The sequence below is a fragment of the Homo sapiens genome, chromosome 9 (assembly GCF_000001405.40).
Source record: "Homo sapiens chromosome 9, GRCh38.p14 Primary Assembly".
Taxonomy (NCBI): domain Eukaryota; kingdom Metazoa; phylum Chordata; class Mammalia; order Primates; family Hominidae; genus Homo; species Homo sapiens.
This window is the reverse complement of record NC_000009.12, coordinates 111589687-111615163: the sequence shown is the minus strand read 5'-3', so window position 1 is coordinate 111615163 and position 25477 is coordinate 111589687. Positions and strand designations below refer to the sequence as shown.

Sequence of the window (25477 nt, the reverse complement as noted above, 5' to 3'; positions counted from 1 at the left end):
GCACCCTCCACATGAGTAATTAGATTGACGAATCCCAATGTCTCCGATAGGGTCGAAGTCACTGGTGCCATCTCCCATCTATGTAACAAAGCTACTCAGTATGTCACAGAGAGTTTAATGAAGCCACTTGTTTAAGTTCTTACTTTTTTCTTTGTTGGTGTCCCCCTGAGCTGGAACTTGGGCATGAGCCCAAGAGTCTGGGCTGAAGTAAGATACAAGTAACCAACACTGAGCTGAGCACTCACTTTTCCCCTTGATCTTGAACCACTTACTGTCTTTGTGCATCTTAACTCTCTTCCATACAAAGCATTCCTTTCCTACAAAATTTCTCTGCCTCTCATATAAATATTTAAAAATTATTGGCCGGGTGCGGTGTCTCATGCCTGTAATCCCAGCACTTTGGGAGGCCGAGGCAGGTGGATCATGAGGTCGGGAGATCGAGACCATCCTGGCTAATACGGTGAAACCCCGTCTCTACCAAAAATACAAAAAAATTAGCCGGGCAAGGTGGTGGGCACCTGTAGTCCCAGCTACTCGAGAGGCTGAGGCAGGAGAATGGCATGAATCCGGTAGGTGGAGCTTGTGGTGAGCCAAGATCGCGCCACTGTACTCCAGCCTGGGCAGCAGAGTAAGACTCCATCTCAAAAAACAAAAAACAAAAAAACACAATTATTATTGTTAGGCTGGGTGTAGTGGCTCACACCTGTAATCCCAGCCCTTTGGAAGGCAGAGGCAGGTGGATCACTTTGAGCTCAGGAGTTCAAGACCAGCCTGGGCAACATGGCAAGACCACATCTCTACTAAAAATACAAAAATTAGCTGAGCTTGGTGGTGCGCACCTGTGGTCCCAGCTACTCAGGAGGCTGAGGCTGGAGAATTATTTGAACCTGGGAGGCAGAGGTTGCAGTGAGCTGAGATCATGCCACTGTACACCAGCCTAGGCGACAGAGTGAGGCCCTGTCTCAAAAAAAAAAATATATATATATATATATACATATATATAAAATTATTATTATTTTGGAGACAGAGTCTTACTCTGTCACCTGGGCTGAGGTACAGTGGTGTGATCATAGCTTTCTGCAGCCTCCAACTCCTGGGTTCAAGCAATCCTTCTGCTTCAGCCTCCTGAGTATCTATGACTACAGGCATGCACCACCATGCCCCACTCATTTTTTTTTTAAGTTTAGTAGAGATGGGGTCTCATTATATTGCCCAGGCTTGTTTTCAGATTCTTTTGAATGAAAAAATTAGGACACCACTGAGAGTTGCTAAAAAGTTCCTCCTAAGCGCCACCAGATGGATGCATCTGGTTATAAATCCAGGTAAGTAATCCAAATCAGCAGGTCCTACTCACCCTTACCCTTCCCACATAATTCACAAACCAAGGTAATAAGACCTCAAATAAGGAATGACGCCTGTTTCACAGTTCAGCATGACCAACAGCTGATATCTAAACAATGCCCCCAAGCTGGCAAGTAAAACCCAAACATAACCCAAAGCCATCTGTGGGTGGCTCCTCTGCCCTTCCGAGGTCTGATTAAATTGGAACAAATCCAAGTTCTATGTTCCATGATAGTCCAAAGTTCTCCCACAATGCCTGTGAGCTCCCTGGGCTTGCCTCCTCCTGCGTCCTGCTAGCTATTTTTAAATGTGAGCTCTATTTTGTTCCAAGATCATTAGGATATTTAGCCCCTTCACCAATTTCCACAAGAAAATTAATTCATTCCAATATTCAGAGGTTCCTTTTTTATTTCTTAGCCAGTGATTAAGGAATCCATTATGTAACCCAGAGCCATTCTCTCTACTCTTTTCTTAATTTTTCCTTCTAAAATGGGGAGTTCCATTTTCTTAATTTTTCATTCTAAATTGGGGAGTTCCAAATTTTTTTTCTCTCTCTCTCTTAGGCAAAGCAGTTCATGTCCTTCCTGGAAGTTTTAGTATCTGCCAGTACTGATGCCCAGTTTGCATTTTAAAAGCTCCTTCTAGCTGCTAGATGCTGAAAAGACTGAAAGGAGGCAAGGGGATAGGCAAAGGGACCAGTATCAGGTTATTTTAGGAGATGATGGTGGCTTGAACCAGGTAGTGGCAAAGCTCGTAAAGACAAGTGCATGAATAGGAATATTTTGGAGGAGATGCTGCAGTACTTGCTTATAGATTGGATTGTAGGTGGGTGTTAAGAGAGAAGAATCCCGGATAACTTGCCCACCTCTGGATTTGGCGCTGGAGGTCCCAATTACTAATGGGGAAGGCTAGGGAGAAGTAGGTTTGAGTGGTGTATAGCTAAGGCTTGGTTCAGTTGCTTGTAACAAAATGTCTGCTATACATAGTAGCTTAAACAAGTAATGGCGGCCAGGTGCGGTGGCTCACGCCTGTAATCCCAGCACTTTGGGAGGCCGAAGCGGGCAGATCACGAGGTCAGGAGATCGAGACCATCCTGGCTACCACGGTGAAACCCTGTATCTACTAAAAATACAAAAAATTAGCCAGGTGTGGTGGCATGTGCCTGTAGACTCAGCTACTCGGGAGGCTGAGGCAGGAGAATCGCTTGAACCTGGGAGGCGGAGGTTGCAGTGAACCTAGATTGCACCACTGCACTCCAGCCTGGGCGACAGAGTGAGACTCCATCTCAAAAACAAAACAAAACAAAAAAACAAGTAGGGCATCATTTTTTTCCTGTAACATCCCAGAACTAATGTTGGGATCCCATGATGTTGCTTCCCAGAGTCCTTCTAACCTTCTGCTTTTTCACTCTCGGCTTGTGGACCTCACGATCATGAAGTCGCTGCTCTACTTCCGTGCATGTTCCATGCAGAAAAAAAAAAAGAGAGAGTGTGTTCTGCCCACTTTTGAAAAGCTTTCCTGGAGGCCCTATCCAGTAACTTCTGCTCATACCTCCAGGCAGAATTGTCATGTGATCACTTCTAACAATAAAGGAGCTTGGCTAGCAATTTTTTAGCTAGACATGTTACTATTCTAAACAACGTGGGGATACTTGCTAGCAAAGAACCAAGAGAGAATGCAGCTAGAAGCATCTGTTCCAGGTAGAAATCAGTTCAGTTTAGAACATGTTAAGTTTAAGATGCCATGGGGAAAATGTCCAGGTGACTTTTTTTTTTTTTTTAATTCTTGAGACAGAGTCTCCCTCTGCTCTGTCACCCAGACTGGAGTGCGGTGGCATGATCTCAGCTCACTGCAGCCTCAACCACCCGGGCTCAAGCGATCCTCTCACCTCAGCCTCCCGAGTAGCTGGGACTACAGGCACACCCCACCACACCTGGCTAATTTTTGTATTTTTCGTAGAGACGAGGTTTTGCCATGTTGCCCAGGCTGGACACAGGAGGCTCTTCAGCCCATTAATCGATGGAGCCTGGAAGACATCCTGGGCAGGAGATATAAATTTGGGAGTGTTCAGTCTGCTGATGGCCTTTGTCTTTTTACTTGCGGTGGAAAGTGTCCTAGTTGATTCAGAAGAGGTTAGTTATGCAGGAGAAAAGAAATAATCCAGGTAGCCTAGGAAGGTTAGGAGAAATGCATCCCAAGTACATTAACCTTTGGTAGGAGGAGAGAAGCTGCCTCCATTTTCACAGAAAGAAAAGTGAAGATGGGCCCGGTGTGGTGGTGCATGCCTGTAGTCCCAGCTAATCGGGAGGGTGAGGCAGGAGAAAGGCTTGAACCTGGGAGGCGGAGGTTGCAGTGAGCCGAGATTGTGCCACTGCACTCCAGCCTGGGCAACCCAGTGAGACCCTGTCTCAAAAACAGAAAGAAAGAGAGAGAGAGAGAGAGAGAGAAAGAGAGAAAGAGACAGACAGAAAGAAAGAAAGAAAGAAAGAAAGAAAGAAAGAAAGAAAGAAAGAAAGAAAGGAGTGAAGATGGATGCATATGCAGAAAAGTTTGTAGTCTTGACCATAAAAAGACAAAGTCTCTGGTCTAATCTGTTTTAATCTCTCAGTGAAGCATCAGGTAAGAATAGTTGAGGGGTGAGGCTTGAGAACCGTGTGAAAGGATAAAATTGTCATCAAGTTTTGCGAGTAAGGAAATTTCCTGGAGAATCTCTGGGGTTACTGGGCAGTGTCGTGTGTGCCTTTGTGTTGTTTGTGATCATTAGAGGAAAACCAGTCAGTCTAGTTAAGTAATTTTCGCCAACAATGTTCAGGGGCTCATGGGAAGGCGTGGAAAAGTCAGTGATTGCTTTTACTCGGGGTTAGGGTTATGCCAGGCGTGACTGATGGAGGAAGAAAAAAGCAAGGAAGCTGAAAGCATTTGCCAGGGAGTGATTATAACAAAGCACCTTGGAATCTTTTTTTTTTTTTTTTTTTTTGAGACAGGGTCTCTGTCACCCACGCTGGAGTGCAGTGGCATGATTATAGCTCACTGCAGCATCAACTTCCTCAGGCCCAGGTTATCCTCCCTCTTCAGTCTCCCAATTAGCTGGGACCACAGACATGCACCACCTTACCTGGCTAATTAAAAAAAAAAATTTCGTAGAGCTGGGGTTTCACCACATTGCCTATGCTGGTCTCAGACTCCTGGCTTTAGGCCATCCACCACCTCAACCTCCCAAAGTACTTGGATTACAGGTATGAGCCACTGCGCCCAGCTGGAATCCTATCTGAACTAAATTGAACTGAAATTTATGCCCACTCTGATAATAGTAATACAAAGCTAGAAAACCAGAACCAAGGAAAAAAGAGAACAGAAATAAAATACCCATAAACTGTTTAAGTTGAGCTTTATGCTGTGTCGACTCAGCCAACTCATGATTCCTGGTTCCTCTCCTGGCAGGAATCTTTTCATGAGGCCTGGCAAGTGTGGTGAACGAATTAGCAAACACCAGCATTGCATTTTAGCGCCAGCCAGAACAAGCATGCCCAGAAGTGTCCAGGCAGAGCTCTCAGCCTCAGCTTTGGGGACCCAACCAGGAAACGTTTCTTCTTCCCAGCCTTTCAGAAAGATCAAAGACTACAGACCACTCACTTCCTGACTCCCGTTTTCCTGCCAAAAGCTTCTAGCTGGGCAGGTAGTACTCTGGCAGGGAAATGGTTTGTTGTTGTCAAACCCCCGCCCCATACAAAGAGAATCTTGGGGAGCCAACATGGGGCTGGTGGGGTACATGTGAAATGAGATTGTCTGATGTCTGTGTGGAGGCAAGGAGATGGCAAGATGGGAGTGTGTGGTGCACACAAGTCAGTATCGGGGAGATGATAACCTGGAATGAGATCATGAGATAGCAAGCATAGCCCTCCACATACATTGTGTGGTCTCAGAATGCCAGGCAGGAGTTGCGGCTGGGAGACACTTCTGAGATGATGGAGTACAGTCCCGGGACCTCAGTGATGTGTGCAGAGTGGGGCATTAGGGAATACAAGACCATTTCGATTACACATAGGTACACACACATTCACCCTCACACCTAGATCACCACTAACAACCGAGATCCCTGGGTTCCCTGCTGCTGGGGTCTAAATGTTTGTGTTCCCACAAAATTCATATGTTGAAATTCTAGTCCCAAGATAATGGTGTTAGTAGGTGGGGCCTTTGGGAGGTGATCAAGTCATGAGGGTGAAGTCTTTAGGGGATCTGAGTCCTCAGGAAAATCCTTTTCCAGAAGTATTTGCCTTTTCAGAACCTTTTATAGAAAACACTAATGTAGAAAACACCACTGCAAGAAATGCCTTTGAAGAAAACATTTTTATGGAAAATGCTACTATGCCAGAAGGCACCATCTCTGAAAACAACCTACAATCATCCTCCTGCGGCAGATTCCGCTGGGACTGCATTAAACTTAGAGACGACTGTTAAACAAACCAGGGAAACACAGTTGGAATACAACAACGTGGGCACTGACCTGTCCCCCGAACCCAAAAGCTTCAATTACCCATTGCTCTCATCCTCAGGTGACCAGTTTGAAATTCAGCTAAACCAGCAGCTATGGTCCCTCATCCCCAACAACGATGTGAGAAGGCTTGTTTCTCATGTTATCCGGACCTTGAAGACGGACTGCACTGAGACCCATTTGCAACTGGCCTGTGCCAAGCTCATCTCTAGGACAGGCCTCCTAATGAAGCTTCTCAGTGAGCAGCAAGAATTGAGAACTGTATCAATGACAGCATGGAAGCCCAGAATGAACAGAAAGAGCAGAAGTCGAATGAGGTGAGGACCACACAGAAACATGAGACCCAGACTTTCCCATCATTTAGCATATGCCAGGAAAGTGCCCACACAGGAGAACCTGGGACTCCCAGAGCATAGCTTGTCTTGGCCATGTAACTTTGACCATGACAATGATCTCCCACTTTACTCATTTAGAGAGTGAAATAGATTAGTACACAAGATAAACTGTAGGCCAGGTGCAAAGGCTCACACCTGTAATCCTAGCATTTTGGGAGGTTGAGGTGCATCAATCACTTGAGGTCAGGAGTTTGAGACCAGCTTGGTCAACATAGTGAAAACCTGTCTCCAGAAAAAATACAAGGATCAGCTGAGTGTGGTGACAAGTGCCTGTAGTCCCAGCTACTTGGGAGGCTGAGGTGGGAGGATCACCTGAGCCCAGGGAGGTAGAGTGTGTAGTGAACCGTGATCGCACCACTGTACTCCATCTAGCCTGGGCAACAGAGTGAGACCCTGTCTGAAAGAAATAAAAAGAACCTGTAAGCTACTCACCTGTAATACTGGGGTTTTGAATAGTTAGCTTTCATCCTCTTCATCCTCCTTGTTTTTTTTTAAAAATGTTCTTTCCTTTTTTTTTTCTCACTAAAAAAGTTCCAGGATATGGCTATAACAACACACTCATCTCGAGAAAAACATTTTTATGGAAAACACTACTATGCCAGAAGGCACCATCTCTGAAAACACAACCTACAATCATCCTGCTGAGGCAGATTCCGCTGGCACTGCGTTCAACTGTGACTATAATAGTGTGCGGGGGCCGGGCATGGTGGCTCACACCTGTAATCCCAACACTTTGGGAGGCCGAGGCGGGTGGATCATGAGGTCAGGAATTTGAGACCAGCCTAACCAACATGGTGAAACCCCGTCTCTACTAAAAATACAAAAATTAGCCAGGCGTGGTAGTGCGTGCCGGTAATCCTAGCTACTCAGGAGGCTGAGGCAGGAGAATCACTTGAACCGGGGAGGCAGAGGTTGCAGTGAGCCGAGATCGTGCCATTGCACTCCAGCCTGGGTGACAAAGCAAGACTCCATCTCAAAAAAAAAAAAAAAGTGTGTGTGGGGCGCACAGCAACATAGTCAAGCTTATGTAGAAGGCATTTGAGGTTGGGACATGGAAAAATACTGAGGCACTGTGTGTATGTTATTTGTGCATGAGAATGAAACTCCTTGACCCTGAAAACAGGACAGGGAGTGGAGCGTGTGGTGTGATAAGGAACGCTGAAAACAGCCTCCTGAGAATACGGTTTGAGTGCTCTTACAAGGCCACAGGTGTCTCACGACCTGACCTCAAGGCAAGCGGATCACCTGAGGTCAGGAGTTCCAGACCAGCCTGGCCAACATGGCGGAACCCCGTCTCTACTAAAAATACAAAAATTAGCTGGGCATAGTGGCTCATGCCTGTAATCCCAGCTACTCGGGAGGCTGAGGCACGAGAATCGCTTGAACCTGGGAAGTGGAAGTTGCAGTGAGCCGAGATTGTGCCACTGCACTCCAGCCTGGGTTACAGAGTGAGAATGTCTCAAAAAAAAAGAAAAAGAAAAAGAAAAAAGAAAAGAAAACATCATTTGCATATACTCACAACTTAAAATAAGCAAATTAATAAGGCTGTGGCGGGTCGGGGGGCAGTTAAAAAAAAAAAATCTTTAGCCAGGTGCAGTGGCTCATGCCTGTCATCCCAGCACTTTGGGAAGCCGAGGCTGGTGGATCACCTGCGGTCAGGAGTTCGAGACCAGCGTGACTAACATGGCAAAACCCCATCTCTACAAAAAATACAAAAATTAGATGGGCGTGGTGGCGAGTGACTATAATTCCAGCTACTTGGGAGGCTGAGGCAGGAGAATCATTTGAACCCAGGAGATGGAGGTTGCAGTGAGCCGAGACCACACTGTTGCACTCCAGCCTGGGCGACAAGAAAAAAACTCCATCTCAAAAAAAAAAGAAAAGCAAAAAAACTTTGATTAATCTTATTCCTGATTCATTCCCTAAATCTTTTTTTTTCCTTTTTTTTTTTTTTTTTTTTTAGACAGTCTCACTTTGCCAGCCATGCTGGAAGGTGGTGGCACAATCATAGCACACTGCAGCCACAATCTCCCAAGCTTCAGGTGAGCCTCCCACCTCAACCTCTCAAGTAGCTGGAACTACAGGCATGCCCCATCACACCCAAGTAATTTTTAAAATTTTTTGGTAGAGATGAGTTTCTTACTATTTTGCCCACGCTGGTCTTCAACTCCTGAGTTCAAGCAATCCTCTCACCTTGGTCCCCCAAAGTGCTGGGATGACAGGAGTGACCCACTGCACCCGACCACCATTCCCTAATTCTTTCCTAGAAAATTGCCAAGTCAGAGGCTGCTTCAGAGAGATTCTGCCCCAAGTGGATTAGAACCACAGGGAGGCTCTCAATTTAAATTTACCTTCCTCTCATCCCACAAATGCCTGGACACAGAAACACTGCACCTAGTTATATTTTTAAAATTTATTTTAATTAACAAGTACAAATTATAAATATGTATGGAGTACAACATGATGTTTTGATATCTGTGTACATTGTGGACTGGCTACATCAAGCTTCTTAACATTTTATTACCACTGATGAGGTTAAAATATGCTAGTCTGGTGCACAGAGTAGTTAAGCTAAATGCACTTGAAAGATGGCAGGTGCAAGAAGATAGCTCTGATCTTCATGCTATTTCTTTTTTTTTTTTTTTGAGATGGAGTCTCACTGTGCTGCCCAGACTGGAGTGCAGTGGTGCAATCTTGGCTCACTGCAAGCTCCGCCTCCGGGGTTCATGCCATTCTCCTGCCTCAGCCTCCTGAGTTGCTGGGACTACAGGTGCCCGCCACCACACCCTGCTAATGTTTTTTTTTTTTATTTTTTTTTTATTTTTAGTAGAGACGGGGTTTCACCATGTTAGCCAGGATGGTCTCCATCTCCTGACCTCGTGATCCGCGTGCTTCAGCCTCCCAAAGTGCTGGGATGACAGCCTTGAGCCACCGCACCTAGCCTACTATAATATTTTTAAAATGTAAAAACCATTATTACCTTGCAGGCTGTACAAAAATAGGCAGTAGGCTGGATTTGGCCAGTTTGCCAACTCCTGATCTAATCTTTAGTTCATATTCAGATTTTACCCGTTGTTTCAACCATGATCTTTATAATTATCTGCGCCTCTCCCCAGCCATGTAATTCAGCTTCATCTCGTTATCATATCTCTTTAACAGTTCCTCAATCTTTCTTTGACTCCATGACCTTGACACTTTTGAAACTTACAAACTAGCTGTTTTGTAGAAGGTCCCCCAATTTGAGTTTGTCTGCTGTTTCCTCATGGCTAAATCCAGATTATGTATTTCAGTCAGGAAACCACAGAATTGATGTTGTGTCCTTCTCAAGGCATAATATGAGAAAGCACAGATAATATCTGTTGGTCTCATTGATGATATTGACTTTGACCTCTTATCTGTCAGGTTTTTCCACCGTAAAGTTACCTTTTTCCCCTTTAATAAACAATCTGTGAAGAGATACGCTTAGAACATGTAGACACTCTGTTCCTTATTAAACTTTCACCTTCTTTTAGCTTTCATGATTCTTGCCTGAGTCAATTATTAATAAATGGTTTCAAAACTGTGGCATTCTACTGTCAGGAATTTTTTTTTTTTTTTTTTTTCCTTGAGACAGGGTCTCTCTCACTCTGTGACCCAGGCTGGAGTGCAGCGATGCGATCTCAGCTCACTGCAACCTCCGCCTCTCAGGCCCAAGCGATTCTCGTGCCTTAGCCTCCATAGTAGCTGGGACTATAGCTGTGTGCCACCATGCCAGGCTAACTTTTGTGTTTATAGAAGAGATGGGGTTTCGTCATGTTGGCCAGGGTGGTGTTGGACTCCTGGCCTCAAGTGATCCACCCACCTTGGCCTCCCAAAGTCCTGGGATTGCAGGCGTTGAGCCACTGAGCCCAGCCCTCCTTTTCTTACTTCTGTGTTTATGAACTCTTGGTAACTTATTTTAGGGGTGATAAAATATGTTCATCCATTAACATATTTTCTGTTACTTATTGATTGATTGATTTTTACCTTAAACTATTAAGGGTTAACCATTAACATGTTAATTGCTATCGTTAATTGTAGGGTGCTACAATAATAAAATGCTAATTTTATTGCCGGTTTTTATGTGCAGATTGTCTTAGATTTGGCCAATGGAAGCTCCTTTAAGGTGGTTTCTGTGTTCCTTTTGACACATCCCTTACTCTTTCGTGTTTCCATCATATTTTGCACACTTTCTTACTGACTGACGCAAAAGGATGTTTCAGGGTTTTTTTGTACTTTCGTTGCCCTTGTCTCAGCCCAGCCATCCATCAAGAGGCAGAAGTCCCACCACAGAATTACAGCAGACGCTACCCAAGTGGAGACAGGAGGGTAGAAGGAGAGGCTGGAAGGGGAAGCTAGGATGAGATGACATTCCAAGACGTGCAGCATGTTTGCATGCCAGAAATGACATCGCTGATAGGGGTTTACAGAAATCTCATTAGTAACCTTCCCTAAGTTTGTTCTTACCTACAAAAGGAATCTACTTCACCTGTACTGGAAAGCTGAAAGTGCAGGGGGCCGAAGGCCCGTGGGACATGACCAACTCAGCATTCCGCTGGAGGCTATATGATCAAACAGCAAATTGTTTATCATGAATGCAGGATGTGGGCAAACTCACACTGCCCTGCCACCAAAAGCTTTGCTGAGGGATATCACTCCCTGGCGCCGGGCTCTTTTGTACTCTTTGTACTCTTTCTCTTTATTTCTCAGACCGGCCGACGCTTAGGGAAAATAGAAAGAACCTACGTGGAAATATTGGGTGTGAATTCCCCCGATAGTTATCTACTGAGAAAATTAGGGCCTATTGTTCAAAGGATGCAGTCTCGCAAGCCTGCTGTGAACCAGACGGCCGACTGACAATTACTCAACAATCACCCCTGCTTCTCGCTATCTCTTTTACCTAATAAATACGGAGGGCTGTGTAAAGCTCAGGACCCTTGTCCACTAGACGCTAGGTTCCCCCTGACTCCTTCTTCCAAATATACTCTTTTGTCTACTGTCTTTTATTCCCGCGTTTGCCCCCTTTGTTCAGTCCAATAGATCCGCGGCATAGTGGCACCCCCAACAGCAACAGAATTGGGCTGTCAACGTGAATGGAACAGACAAAAGTGTAGGACTTTGACATGGACTGAGATTCAAATCTCAACCCTGCTACTGACTAGCTATGTGATCTTGTCTACGTTGTTTTACCTCTCAGACTTTCAGTTTCCTGAGGCTCCAAGGAAGATGATGGTAATATTTGCTTCTGAAACTGCCCCTATAAACTTTATAAAATTAGGCCGGGCACGGTGGCTCACACCTGTAATCCCAGGACTTTGGGAGGCTGAGGCGGGTGGATCACCTGAGGTCAGGAGTTCACGACCAGCCTGACCAATATAGTGAAACTCTGTCTCTACTAAAAATACAAAAATTAGCCTGGCGTGGTGGTGTGTGCCTGTAGGCCCAGCTACTCAGGAGGCTGAGACAGGAGAATTCCTTGAACCCGGGAGGTAGAGGTTGCAGTGAGCCAAAATCATGCCACTGCACCCCAGCCTGGGAGACAGAGCAAGACTCCATCTCAAAAAATACATAAAATTAATCAGGAAAGAAGGGAGGGAGGGAGAAACAAAAACAAACCAAGCTGGCAGCAGGTTCAGCATTCATGATTAACTCGGCACACTCTCCCATCTGCTTCCTCACACTTTGGTGCCTATTGTTCTAGAATCACTAGACCCAGTTACAAGATTATAGTTCACCTTAACTGCTCTTTAAATAGCAACTCGAACATTATGAAATGTTGTTTTCACTTTGAGATATTCCTTCAGGTCCTGATATGGAAGAAACTACTGATGTCAGCTGAAGGACCACACTGATGCAGCTGTCCTGAAGGACTCCCCGAGGAGCTACCTCATCAAAAAATACAGTTTCCACTTTGCGATGATTTTATCCCCCTTGCCCCAACCGACCAGCAACCCCAATTTTCCAGCCCCTCACTCTCCACAATCCTCTTAAAGCCCCAGGCCAGAACTTCTTGGGAGACAGATTTGAGGGTTTCCTTCCACTTCCTTGCTGGGTGGCCTGTGATCATTAAACTCTTTCTTTGCTGCATCCCTGCTGTCTTAGTGTAATTGGTCTATACTATGCAGTGGGCATGCAAACCTGTTGATGACCCCTCCTTGGGTCATCATGAGGACTAGAAATACTGGATACCAAGGGCTATTCTAGTGCAAGATTGCATCTCCTCTGTGCTGTGCAGAGAGGATAATCACTATCTCTTCAAACGCAGTGTCCCACATATATTCAGGAATTCCTGCAATTATGAGACAAATATTACTGTTTGTTGTTATAATTATTTCTCAAGCATTATCCCACCAGACCAATGAAATGGAAGTTGTAGAGAAAAAAGTGGGGGACAAATCTGTCTGTTTTTGTTTGTTTGTTTGTTTGTTTTTGAGAAAGAGTCTTGCTCTGTCGCCCAGGCTGGAGTGCAGTGGCATGATCTTGCCTCACTGCAACCTCCACCTCCTGTATTCAAGTGATTCTCCAGCCTCAGCCTCCCAAGGAGCTGGGACTACAGACGCCCGCCACCATGCCCAGCTAATTTTTGTAGTTTTAGTAGGGATGGGGTTTCACCATGTTGGCCAGGCTGGTCTCGAACTTCTGACATCAAGTGATCCACCCGCCTTGGCCTCCCAAAGTGCTGGGATTATAGGCATGAGCCACCACCCCTGACTAAGTCTGTCTGTTTTTGAAGTACAAAAAAAAAATCCAAAAGAAATTTCCACCAAACAGATAACAATGACTTTTGCTTTTTATAGCGTACACATCTGTATCATCTGAATTATTTGATAAAAAAGCATTTTTTAATTACTTGTTTGTTACTGCTTTATTGTTTTAAGTGAACTGTTCCCTCCACAGTTAGATCAGAACTCATTGAAACCTAAGATCAGAGAACTGAATTGAGTAGAGTTTTGTCTTGGGGTAAAGCAAAGGAAAATCTTTTTCCTTGATCCTTTATTCCATATTCTAACTCTCTGTGTGCGAGTATGTAACAGCCGTGATTTAACTTAATCACCATGACTTGACAAGCTGCAGCCTTTGAGACTGACTGAGTCATCAAGTTTGGGAAACAGATTTTGTTTGACCTGGTGCGGCCCAATCTTATCTGTATCTTCAATTTAAGGACAAGTGAGTAAATATGTGAGCCACTCTGTGTTTCTGGCACTTTTTTCTCTTATTCTTACTTTGCAAAGACTTTTTATGCCTGCAATTTTATTAACACTTCTAATATCCAAAAGAAACAGTGATTCTGTAACAAGTTATCTTAAAAGAAAAAAAAAAGAGAGAAGCAGAATGCGATATGTAACCCAATACCGTTTCTATAAATTAAATGTATATGACCACAGTGCACATTATGTAAGAACATGGAAAAAAAAACTGTATGCAAATCAAATACATCACAGTAGTTACCTATAGTAGGAGGAGAAAAGCAGGAAATTGAGTTTTTTTGGTTTTCTTTTGAGACGGGATCTCACTTAGACACCCAGTCTAGAGTGCAGTGCCACGATCGCAGCTCGCTGCAGCCTCCACCTCCCAGGTTAAAGCTATGTTGCCCACGCAAGTCTTGAATGCTTGGCCTCAAGTGGTCCTTTTGTCTCAGACTCCAAAAGTGCTAGGATTACAGGCATGAGCCACAGCACCCAGCCTGGGAATGGAGTTTTGTTTTATATTAAGTTACATAAATTAATGAGAAGGGAGAGAGTGAGAAAGAAAGAATTTGGCAGACCAGTGGGGATAAAGTGCCACCAACTCTGATTAGTGTGAAGAATTCAACTCTCGGCATTGTGTTTTTAGGGTCCATCCAAGTTGCTTTATGTACATGGAACCCAGTGCTTCTGATGCTGTGTATATCCTGTGGCATGCGTCCACCACGCTTGGTCCACACACTCTGTTATGGGCTGAACTGTGTCTTCCCCAATTTCATGTGTTAAAATCCCCAAGTCCCAGTACTCAGAATGTAACTGTATTTGTAGATAGGGCCTTTAAAGAGGTAATTAAGGTTACATGAGGCCATATTAGTGAGCCCTAATCCATTTGACAGTATTTGAAGACAAGGCCTTCAAAGACGTGTTTAAGTTAAACGGAGGCTGACAAGTGGGGCTCTAATCCAATATGGCGGGTATCCTTACAAGGAGAGACATTGAGCCAGGTGTGGTGGTGGGCCTGTAATCCCAGCTTCTAGGGAGGCTGAAGGAGGATCACCTGAGTCCAGGAGTTCAAGGCTGCAATGAGCTATGATGCCCACCATTGCACTCCAGCCTGGGTGACAGAGCAAGACCTCAAAATAATTAAAATTAAATAAATAAATTAAAGACATTGAATCTTCACAATGACTGGAAGTTAGGCATTCTTCTTATCCCCATCTTGCAGATGGCTGAACTGAGTGAGGCAAGGAGAAGGTAAGTAAGTCTTTGAAAGCTACACCACTAGTAAGTGGCAGGTGCAGGCTTCGAACCTGCAGTCGTCTAATACCAACGACTTAGCTTCACGTTCAACCCCTGCCTGAGACCACCTCTCCTTGCAGAAGCCAGGTCAAGGCCTGATGTTTGCTAGGGTGTGATGGGTGGGGTGCCTCAGTGGCAAGAGTGCTCACTCCTGCCTGGGGGAGTCTGGCAAGGGTTCACAGAGGTGACCTTGAATTGGCTGGTGGAAGGCGAGTAGGTGTTCAGCAGGCGGACTGGGGACAGACAGGCAGGGTGTCTGCACCGCAGCCCTGGGCGAAAGCTTGCACTGCGGGCAAGCGGCAGGGCTGACGGGGAGCCCAGGGATCGGAGCCAGCACCGGGGGCTTATTAGGGCTGCGGCCGCCCCAGGCCCTGCCTTTGGACCCTTCCGGCCTGCTTGGCAGATGCCACGGTTGGTTCCCCCACGGGGCATATTTCCGCCGGGCTCCAACTTAGGACCCCAGGCGGAGGTCCAGTGTCAGCTGGACAAAGCTCTGTTAGGAATTTTCCTATCAGGAGTCCCTAACCCCCTACACGCACACACACGGGCGCGCGGGCGCGCACGCACACACACGCACACATGCACACATACGCGCGCGCACATGCACATAGGCACACAGAGATACGCGCACACACACACACAAACGCACTCAGATTTCCCGGACCCTGGTTTTCCTCCTGTGACCCTTTCGGGGCCGGGCTCTCACCCTAAAGAAGCAGCCCCGCCCTGGGGTGGCCCCACCCTCTCTTGGGACCTGTCATAAGTCGGACCCCGGGCGCCCGGCTGCGCAGTCCCAGCCGCCTTCCCCAGGCAGTGGAACCTTCGGGCTCCTGTAAGTAGACCTCCTGCTTTCTTTCCTTCCCTTTTCTCCCTCCTCTAACCCCCTTGCTTTCTTCCTGCCAAGTTTCTAGACGCCCCAGTGGAGGAGGTTTGCTCTTAGACCTCCTCCCCTTACGTCGAAATGACCGCTGGGTCTTGCACTCGGAGGATCTTGGGAGCCGACGTCCCGACGCCTCCCGCCCCCGCAGTTCCTTGGAGAGCTTGGAGCCGCGCGCCGGAGGGAATAGGAAAGCTTGGTTACAACCCGGGACACCCGGTAGCTTCCTGCACCCGGGAGGGGGCTGGCCAGGGAACTTGCTGGACTGCACAACTGGGGGAGGGTAGAAGAAGAAAGATCGGGGTGGGGATTCGGGAATGGGCAAGCGGGCGGCGGGCGGCGGGAGGCGAGGGTGGGAGCAAAGGGCGAGCGGGCAAAGGCCGGGCGCCGCGCCAGGCCCCCTCCTCGGGCGGGCGAGACTTTCCCGGGACCTGGCCCCTCTGCGGCCAGACCCTTTCCAGGAGGGCTTCTGGACTTGTAGCGAGTTTGGAAGCCCAGCGGTTGCTTTTTTGGGGAAAGGGACAAAGATGTGTGAACTCTAAAGAAGTTGAACTCATAGAAATAACGACTAGAATGATGGTTGCCAGAGGCTGGGAGCGGGTTCGGGGGGGAATGGGGGCTTGTTGGCCAAAGGGTACGAAGTTCAGAGACGAGAGGAGTAGGTTCTGAGATCTGTTGCACAGCAGAGTGACTAGAGCCAATAATGTGTATTTCGAAATAACAGAGTAAACTGCAAATGTCTCACCGTAAAAATGATACGTAGGGCCTGGCGCGGTGGCTCACGCCTGTAATCCCAGCACTATGGAAGGTCGAGGCGGGCGAATCATTTGAGCTCAGGAGTTCTAGACCAGTCTGGCCAACATGGGGAAACCCCGTCTCTACTAAAAGTACAAAAATTAGCTGGGCGTGGTGGCGGGCGCCTGTAATCCCAGCTACTCAGGAGGCTGAGACAGGAGAACCGCTTGAACCCGGGAGACGGAGGTTGCAGTGAGCTGAGATCGCGCCATTGCACTTCAGCCTGGGCGACAGAGCGAGACTCCGTCACAAAAAAAGTCTTAATTTTAAAAAAAGAAAAGAAGGAACAACCCCGGGCTGCAGATCAGACCGCCCCCCTGGCTCCCTCGCAATGCGGGAGTGCTCCCTCCAGGTCACCGTGTCCCCTCCCGCGGCACCGGTAGGGGAGCTGGGGAGATCACTGGCAGCTCCAAATGGTTTCGTAACTGGATTGTTTGTAGCGGATGCACCCGCGGGAAGGCGCAGGTCCCAAGTGATTCGGCAGAGTTCAGTCCAAGCAGAACATCCTGAACCCCCAGCTCGGGGCAGCCTTCATCATCTTCCCTTGCTTTGGTGCAGCGTTTCAGCTCAAAATCGGTTTGGTGTGGAGTTTAAACTCAAATCCCTACTGGGCCAAAGAAAATTCGCACCCGATGGCTGAGTGCAAGTGGTTCACACCTGTAATCCCAGCACTTTGGGAGACCGAGGCGGGCGGATCGCCTAGGCAACACAGTGAGGCTCCTCTCTACAAGAAAAGAGAGAAAAAAAAGTATTTAAAAAAAAAAAAAACGCACCTGAAAATGGGGCGGAGCAGCGGCGCCCTCCGGTGGTTTTCAGGAGTTCTGAGACTGCCTTGAAATGCGTGGCTGTTTCCATCTGAAAGAGGTGCATGGACTTCTATCTATTGGGTTCTTTGTGTTTGATGCTTTTTCTTAGAATTCACTCCATGTGAGATGAGAAACGGAATGGAATATTCGCACTTCCGGTAACTGTTCAGTGCCGTAGAGAAACTCTAGCCTAGCAGTGGCTGGGAAGAATTTCTTTGTTGTTTTATATTTTTTCCTTGTCTTGAAGATTTCTTTAAACCTCAGTTTCCTCATCCGTACACTGGCAATGATACTAATGTCTATCTTATAGGGAAGTTATAAGGATAAAATGAGGTAATCTATATGAAGTGCTTAGCACAGCACCAGAAACATAGTAAATGTTAAATGAATGTGGTTGGCATGATATGATAATGATGGGATTTGAGGATATTGTAATTGTGCTGTCTGGTCTCAGTTTGACGGCTAGAGAACTGTTAGAATGCAGTCACTTCATGGCAGTTGACTACATATTTACTGTGTTCTAGGAGCTTCAGGATGGTTCGTACTAAGACATGGACCCTGAAGAAGCACTTTGTTGGCTATCCTACTAATAGTGACTTTGAGTTGAAGACAGCTGAGCTCCCACCCTTAAAAAATGGAGGTAAGTCATACTAAAAATATTTCAGAGTTGGAAGGGACTGTATCAGTTAGCTTTTGCTGCATAACAAACTACCCCAAAGTTTAGTGACTTTAAGCAACAACGGTTTATTAGTTCACAATTCTTTGGGTTGGCAATTTGGGCTGAGTTAAGCTGGGTGGTTCTTCTTAGGTCTCATCTGGGGTAAATGGTTAATTTAGGATGGGCCTTGCTCACATGTCTGCTGATTAGCAGGCTTTCTGTTGGGGTGCATGCCTTAGTTCTCATCTATGTGGCCTTTCTAGCAGGCTAGCTTGAGCTCTATTCTTATAGTGGCCCCATAGATCTAGAGCAGCAGTAGTTGGCAAGCTCCAATGTGCAAGCACTTTCTCTTTTTTTTTTTTTTTTTTTTTTGAGACAGAGTCTTGCTCTGTTGCCCAGGTTGGAGTGCAGTGGCATGATTTTGGCTCACTGCAACCTCTGCCTTCTGGGTCCAAGCGATTCTCTTGCCTCAGCCTCCTGAGTAGCTGGGATTACAGGTGTGCGCCACCATGCCCCCCTAATTTTTGTATTTTTTCTGAGATGGAGTCTTGCTCTGTCACCCAGGCTGGATTGCAGTGGAGCAATCTCGGCTCACTGCAACCTTTGCCTCCCAGGTTCAAGCAATTCTCCCTGCCTCAGCCACCTGAGTAGCTGGGATTACAGGCGCCCACCAACACGCCCGGCTAATTTTTTTTTTTTTTTGTATTTTTAGTAGAGATGGAGTTTCACTGTGTTGGCCAGGCTGGTCTCGAACTCCTGACTTCAGGTGATCCACCTGCCTCGGCCTCCCAAAGTGCTGGGATTACAGGCGTGAGCCACAGTGCCCGGCCTTAATGTTTGCATTTTTAGTAGAGACGGGGTTTCCCATCTTTGCCAGGCTGGTCTTGAACTCCTGACCTTAGATGATCAGCCCGCCTTGACCTCCCAAAGTGCTGGGATTAAAGGTGTGAGCCACCATGCCCCGCTGTGCAAGCCCTTTTCAAGCCTCTACTTGTGCCACGTTTGCTAATATCCCATGGTCAAAGCAAATCACAAAACCAAGCTCAGATTCGAGAGGCAGAAAATAGATTTCTTGATGGGAGAAGTGGCAAGGAGACAAGCACACAAGGGTGGGAGTTATTTGTGGCCATTTTGCAATCTGCCACAAAGACCTTTCCAGGGTTCTCAGTGTGAATCCTCGATGTCACATGGCAGGATTCCCCTGCTTTCATTGATAACTGAAATTCATGCTTGAGTGCATTACTCTTCATGGCTTTGACCAGACTATGGGGAGGATGTCCTCTCTATCCTCATAAGCCTGATGATGGCAGTGAGGTAAGCACTGCCCAGTAGCTATACGAAGAGTTCAGACTATAAGATGAGTCTCGGCTGGGTGTGGCGGCTCACACCTGTAATCCCAGAACTTTGGGAGGCTGAGGCAGGCAGATCACAAGGTCAGGAGATCGAGACCATCCTGGCTAACACAGTGAAACCCCATCTCTACTAAAAATACAAAAAATTAGCTGGGTGTGGTGGTGAGCACCTGTACTCCCAGCTATTTGGGAGGCTGAGGCAGGAGAATAGCATGAACCCGGGAGGTGGAGATTGCAGTGAGCCAAGATCGCGCCACTGCACTCCAGCCTGGGCGACAGAGCAAGACTCCATCTCAAAAAAAATAAATAAATAAAGATGAGTCTCTAAGGAGTGTTTACAGGTAGGTAAGCATTTGAGAAAAGGGGACGCAATCAAGTAGCATGACAAAGTGATCAGTCCCATCTAAGCTATGATGGCCATGACTCAAATTCAAAATTCCAAAGAATGAATACATGAGAGTCACTCCAGCAAAATGCATGTTCTCTCACACCAACTGGGGCTGGCGATGAAGCCATATGGTGAGCACTGTAACATAATGGTTTAAATGTGGCCTTGGGCAAGTAACTAAGCCTAACCTAAAATGGAAGCAATATTTGTTGAATATCAAATGACATAATTCGTGTAAAGCATGGAATGAGTGCTGAGTAAATAGCATTACCATTATTATTATTATTATTAACTGGGCTGGGCCAAAAATGAGAACCCCTTCTTGTCTCTGCGATAGAAGCACAGATGGGAAGACATTCCTGAAGCAGAAGTATTATCTGTGGTTTTTTAGAATACCAAAAACAGGCTGGGCATGGTGGCTCATGCCTGTAATCCCAGCACTTTGGGAGGCCAAGGTGGGCAGATCTCTTGAGGTTAGAAGTTCGAGACCAGCCTGGCCAACATGGTGAAACCCCGTCCCTACTAAAAATACAAAAATTAGCTGGGTGCAGTGGTGGGCGCCTGTAATCCCAGCTACTCAGGAGGCTGAGGCATGAGAATCACTTGAACCTGGGAGATGGAGGTTGCAGTGTTCAGAGATCAAGCCACTGCACTCCAGCCTGGGCAACAGAACAAGACTAGGTCTCAAAAAAAAAAAAAAAAAAAAAGAGGCCGGTCGCAGTGGCTCACGCTTGTAATCCCAGCACTTTAGGATGCCGAGACGATGGATCACTAGGTCAGGAGATTGAGACCATCCTGGCTAACACGGTGAAACCCGTCTCTACTAAAAATACAAAAAATTAGCTGGGCGTTGTGAGGCAGGCGGCTGTAGTCCCAGCTACTCAGGAGGCTGAGGCAGGAGAATGGCATGAACCCAGGAGGCGGAGCTTCCAGTGAGCCAAGATCACGCCACTGCACTCCAGCCTGGGTGACAGAGCGAGACTCCCTCTCAAAAAAAAAAAAAAAAAAAGAATGCCAAAAACGAAGGCATCAGGCCTTGAGTTCCGTTTTTTTCTTCAACATTTATGTTAGTTTTAGGGGTACATATGCAGGCTTGTTATATGGGTAAATTGCATGTGGCTGAGGTTTGGTGTACGAATGATCCTGTCACCCAGGCAGTGAGCATGGTACCTCATGGGTGGTTTCTCAACCCTTGTCCCTGTCTCACCCCTCCTGTCTAGTGGTGCTCAGTGTCTATTGTTCCTCTCAGGCCTTGAGTTTCTAATTGCCTATGGAATGCTTTATTTTGTAGAGGTCCTGCTTGAAGCTTTGTTCCTCACCGTGGATCCCTACATGAGGTATTATTTATTTCGCCCCTCAAAATGCTAATGCTGTGTTAAATGCTATCTGGAAGTAGTTCATCTTCTAAAATATCCAACTGACTTAAAACATTGTCACTTTCCTTCTGTTTCTCCCAGCCAGTATCAGTGATAAGATTCATGCACGCTCGTCTTTTGCAGGCAAAGGTCTAAGTAGCTTAGTGAGGGATCACCTCAGTCCCTTTGTCCCAACCATCTCCTATCTGCTCTGCACAATTTGCCTTTCACTGCTCAACAGAATTACTTCCAGAAAAAAAAAAAAAAAGAAGGAAAAAAAAAACCTTAAAAGAAAAAAATAAAGCCTGGGCAACATGGCAAAGCCCTGTCTCTACTAAAAATACAAAAAAAGTAGCCAGGCCTGGTGGCGCAGGCCTGTGGTCCCAGCTGCTCAGAAGGGTGAGGCAGAAAGATCACTTGAGCCTGGGAGGCAGAGGTTGCAGGGAGGCAGAGGTTGCAGCGAGCCAAGATCTTGCCACCGCACTCCAGCCTAGGTAACAGAGCAAGACCCCGTCTCATAAAGAAAAAAGAAGCCAAACCCCAATTTGTGCATTTCACTACTGGCAAGTAATTTGGATAGAGGAAGATGCTAAGACTAAAATCAGTTTTTCTGGCCTTCCATTTACCTGTATTCTTTTAATGTAGGTGAATCTGTGGTTGACTCAAACTTATATACTCAGCAGACAACTCAGGGAGGGGAGGAAATCAAAAGCCTTTATTGACTACTAAGTCCTCAGTATTTTTTTGCCTCGGTAAATAACATAGCCATCATTCTTTTACATTTTTTTCATAGCTGATTGATAAAGATTCAAATCTTAAGTGGAAAATACAGTTTAAAAATGTTAATTGGCATCTTTTTGCGTAGCTAGTGTTTTGGGTAATAACTACCCAGTGGTGCCTGGGTTCTATTTTTAAAGTCATTGGTAGAAATTCATCTTTACTTGAACATGGCAGTAAGACTTTTGTGTTCACTCATAAAAAAATCCAATCAGAGTGCTTATCTGAGGTCACAGAGCAGAACTTCCTCTAACAGCTTTCCTCCTGTATCTCACCTAGTTGTAGCCCTTCATCTGTCTGGGTTTTATTGCCGCATACACTTATCCAGCAGTTTTTCATTTGGCTTGAAACTCAAAACAGTCCCCCGATGCTCCTATGTATTAAGAATGGAATTTTATTTATTTACCTATTTTTTTTTTTTTTTTTTTTTTTTTTTTTTTGCAGAGTGGCAGCCAAAAGATTGAAGGAAGGTGATACAATGATGGGGCAGCAAGTGGCCAAGTAATTATTTCCATTTGTCCCAGTGCTTGGAAAATATGTCTCCTCTTTACCTCCTGCTGGGTCCTGTCTCTGTCCATTGCTCCTACAATTTCTTCAGCCTATGTTGTTGACTCACTGTGTGATCTTGGAATCAACTTGGGAAATTCTGTCTCCTTCCTAACTAGCTGGAAAGGAGGGAAGGATGTGAAATTGTCATTTTTTCAGCTTCACTTTGCCATCCTTACTTTTAATTACTAAAAAAAAAAAAGTATTTGTCCAGGTCATGATTTATTGCGGGATCTGGCCAGCAGCCCACAATGCAACAGGGTTCTCTCTTTGTTCCCAGGTGGATCGGCAGGTTGAGAAATAATAGACACACACAAGATAGTGAAAGCTGGGTCCAGGGGCGTCACCGCCTTCTGGTTCCGTGGTGCCACCAAAGCACTGAATATACCCGCATTTATTATTAAGTTTAGTGAGGGCGGGGGTAGGTTAGTGAGGGATTTAGGGTCATTTGATTATGAGGTGAGATGGTCACATGGGGATGAAGTAATTCTTTAACATACATCTGTATGCAGAAGTACAGTATACAGAGATAAGAATTTACAATATAGTGTGTGCATCAGTAATTTCTAACAGAGCCTTAAAACAGAAACACAGTCTTTCCATAACCTATGATTAGCAAGATATTAATCAGCAGTAACAGTTGCAGCAAAAGCTGGTTACAAACAATCCATAGAAACAGGAGGTGAAGCTAGACAATCAGTTAGACCAGAAATTCTCAGAAGGGAGTATGCCTTAACCGTAAAGAGGGCTAGAAGAGCTGTGGCAAGATGAGGGCATTTACAGCCCTATCTTATCCATATGGACAGGTGCCCCCACATGCGTCCATTTATAGGCTCTCCACAAGGGTTGCATTCCATTCCCAGAGCTATGAAAATCTGCATTTCTGGCATAGGAATCTTGGTGATGTGAAACCTCCCTGACTGCATGTCTGGTCATAGGCTCTCTGCAGGGGGAAGCACATCACACGCTGTTGGCTCATTCTGGCAGTCCAACCTGGCATTGTCTTTACACAATCCTGCATGCAACTTTGTATTCACAATAATCAGGAGCATTTCATCTTTTATTCCGTAGCAATAGTTTCAGGGGGTCTGCCTACAATGATTATTGTAAAAATTCAAATAAAACAAAATTTTTATCTTAGAAACTGAAAGTTCCCCTGTCATCTGAACCTTAAAGACAACTATTGTTAATATATTATTATTTCAAAAATTGTGGGCCAGCAGTGGCTCACGCCTGTGATCCCAGCACTTTGGGAAGCTGAGGTGGGCAGTTCACTTGAGGTCAGGAGTTCGAGACCAGCCTGGCCAACATGGTGAAACCCCGTCTCTACTAAAAAAACAAAAATTAACTGGGTGTGGTAGTGCATGCCTGTAATCCCAGCTACTCGGGAGGCTGAGGCAGGAGAATTGCTTGAACTTGGGAGGTGGAGGTTGCAGTGAGCCGATTGCACCACTGCCCTCCAGCCTGGGCGACAGAGTGAGACTCCATCTCAAAAAAAAAAAAAAAAAAAGAAAAAGAAAAATTGTCCAGTGTACATACTTTTATAAATAAATTTCATTTTATTTTATTATTATTTTTTTTTTGAGACGGAGTCTCACTCTTGTTGCCCATGCTGGAGTGCAATGGCGTAATCTTGGCTCACCGCAACCTCTACCTCCCAGGTTCAAGTGATTCTGATTCTCCTGCCTCAGCCTCCCAAGTAGCTGGGATTACAGGCATGCACCACCGCACCCGGCTAATTTTGTATTTTTAGTAGAGATGGGGTTTCTCCATGTTGGTTGGGCTAGTCTCGAACTCCCGACCTCAGGTGATCCGCCCGCCTTGGCCTCTCAAAGTTTTGGGACTACAGGCATGAGCCACCGTGCCCGGCCTATATATAAATTTTAAATGGAATTATATGACCTTCAGAAAACTGCTATCAATTATTATGTTAAGGATATCTTTCATTGACAGTATATGAATATACCACCTACCTTTTAATAGCTGCAAGTTATTTTTAACTAATCTACTACTGATAACAACTGTTTTCAATTTTTTCTATGACAAATAATTCTTCCAGGAGCATGTATGTATGTATACGTGTGTATCTGTGTATTCTTTACCCTCTTGGATGAGTATTGCTTTACATTAAGTTCCCAGAAGTATAAATTCTAGACCCAAAGAAATGTATATTTTTAACTGAAAAGGTGATGACAAATTGTTCTTCAGAAAAATTACATGAAGGCTGGACGCAGTGGCTCATGCCTGTAATCCCAGCATTTTGGGAGGCTGAAGCAGGAGGATCACTTGAGGTCAGGAATTTGAGACCAGCCTGGCCAACATGTCAAAACCCAATCTCTACTAAAAATAAAGAAATTAGCCAGGTGTGGTGATGGGCATCTGTAATCCTAGCTATTCAGGAGGCTGAGGCATGAGAATTGCTTGAACCCAGGAGGCAGAGGTTGCAGTGAGCTGAGATCACACCTCTGCAGTCCAGCCTGGGCAACAGAGTGAGACTTGGTCTCAAAAAAAAAAATGTATGAATGTTCACTCCCACAAATAGTATTAACCTGTTTCCCTTATACTGTTCATCATCAGTCTCGGCAACCTGAGATAAATATAATGATACTTTATGCTTAGTTTAGTTTGCATTTCTTTTATTATTAGTGATGTTGACCTTCTTTTTGTAAGTTAATTCTCAATTTTCTTCTGTGGATTATCTGTTTATATCCTTTGCCCTTTTCCTTTAGGTCTTATCATTCGTTATATTGATTTGTAAAAGCTTCTCGTATGTTCAGGATATTAGTGTTGCAAATGTTTGGGCCTTTGTTGATATTTCTTCTGTGTCCAATTACAGTTTAAAATTTTATGTGATAAAATTGTAAGTATTTATAATTATGGTCCTTTGGTTTCATCTCATGCTTAGAAAGGGGTTCCCCACTCCATAATTACTAAAATATTTATTCATGCCGGGGGCAGTGGCTCACGCTTGCAATCCCAGCACTTTGGGAGGCCAAGGTGGGCGGATCACTTGAGGTCGGGAGTTCAAAACCAGCCTGGACAACATGGCGAAACCTCATCTCTACTAAAAATACAAAAATTAGCTGGGCACAGTGGTGGGCGCTTGTAATCCCAGCTACTTGGGAAGCTGAGGCAGGAGAATCATTTGAACCAAGGAGGAGGTTGCAGTGAGCAGAGATCGCGCCATTGCACTC

At 45.6% G+C, this 25477-nt stretch overlaps 1 protein-coding gene and 1 pseudogene across 8 annotated transcripts in view, besides 2 other annotated features; both read left to right on the top strand.

Moving 5' to 3' along the window:
- Positions 1–1610: 1610 nt before the first annotated feature.
- LRRC37A5P (leucine rich repeat containing 37 member A5, pseudogene) lies at positions 1611–12333 on the top strand (annotated as a pseudogene). The gene is made up of 3 exons (NR_034087.1): positions 1611–2166; positions 5895–6150; positions 12051–12333. The product of NR_034087.1 is annotated as a leucine rich repeat containing 37 member A5, pseudogene (transcript).
- Positions 15094–15666: an enhancer, noted in NCBI's record as "H3K27ac-H3K4me1 hESC enhancer chr9:114361778-114362350 (GRCh37/hg19 assembly coordinates)". NCBI's record gives its function as "activates a minimal SCP1, AML or CMV promoter by ChIP-STARR-seq in naive H9 embryonic stem cells {active_cell/tissue: H9 hESC(naive)}" and the evidence as "EXISTENCE:reporter gene assay evidence [ECO:0000049][PMID:30033119]".
- PTGR1 (prostaglandin reductase 1) overlaps positions 15517–25477 on the top strand; it is a 49926-nt gene continuing 39965 nt past the window's right edge. For 4 of the 7 annotated variants that reach the window (NM_001146109.2, XM_011518394.3, NM_001146108.2 and 1 more), the window contains exons 1-4: positions 15517–15561; positions 17732–17847; positions 20897–20942; positions 22182–22238. In NM_001146109.2, coding sequence (NP_001139581.1) covers positions 17742–17847; positions 20897–20942; positions 22182–22238 — 209 coding nt within the window. In that variant the 5' untranslated portion in view covers positions 15517–15561; positions 17732–17741. Of the gene's footprint in view, positions 15562–15732; positions 15826–17731; positions 17848–20896; positions 20943–22181; positions 22239–25477 lie in introns of those variants that run through there. The other 3 variants (XM_017014485.3, NM_012212.3, XM_047423010.1) reach the window with 1 other exon arrangement.
- Positions 21086–21255: an enhancer, noted in NCBI's record as "experimental_105923 CRE fragment used in MPRA reporter constructs". NCBI's record gives its function as "activates a minimal promoter by MPRAs in K562 erythroleukemia cells, with activity observed for both the introgressed and non-introgressed 9:114356274 variant alleles {active_cell/tissue: K562}" and the evidence as "EXISTENCE:reporter gene assay evidence [ECO:0000049][PMID:34662402]".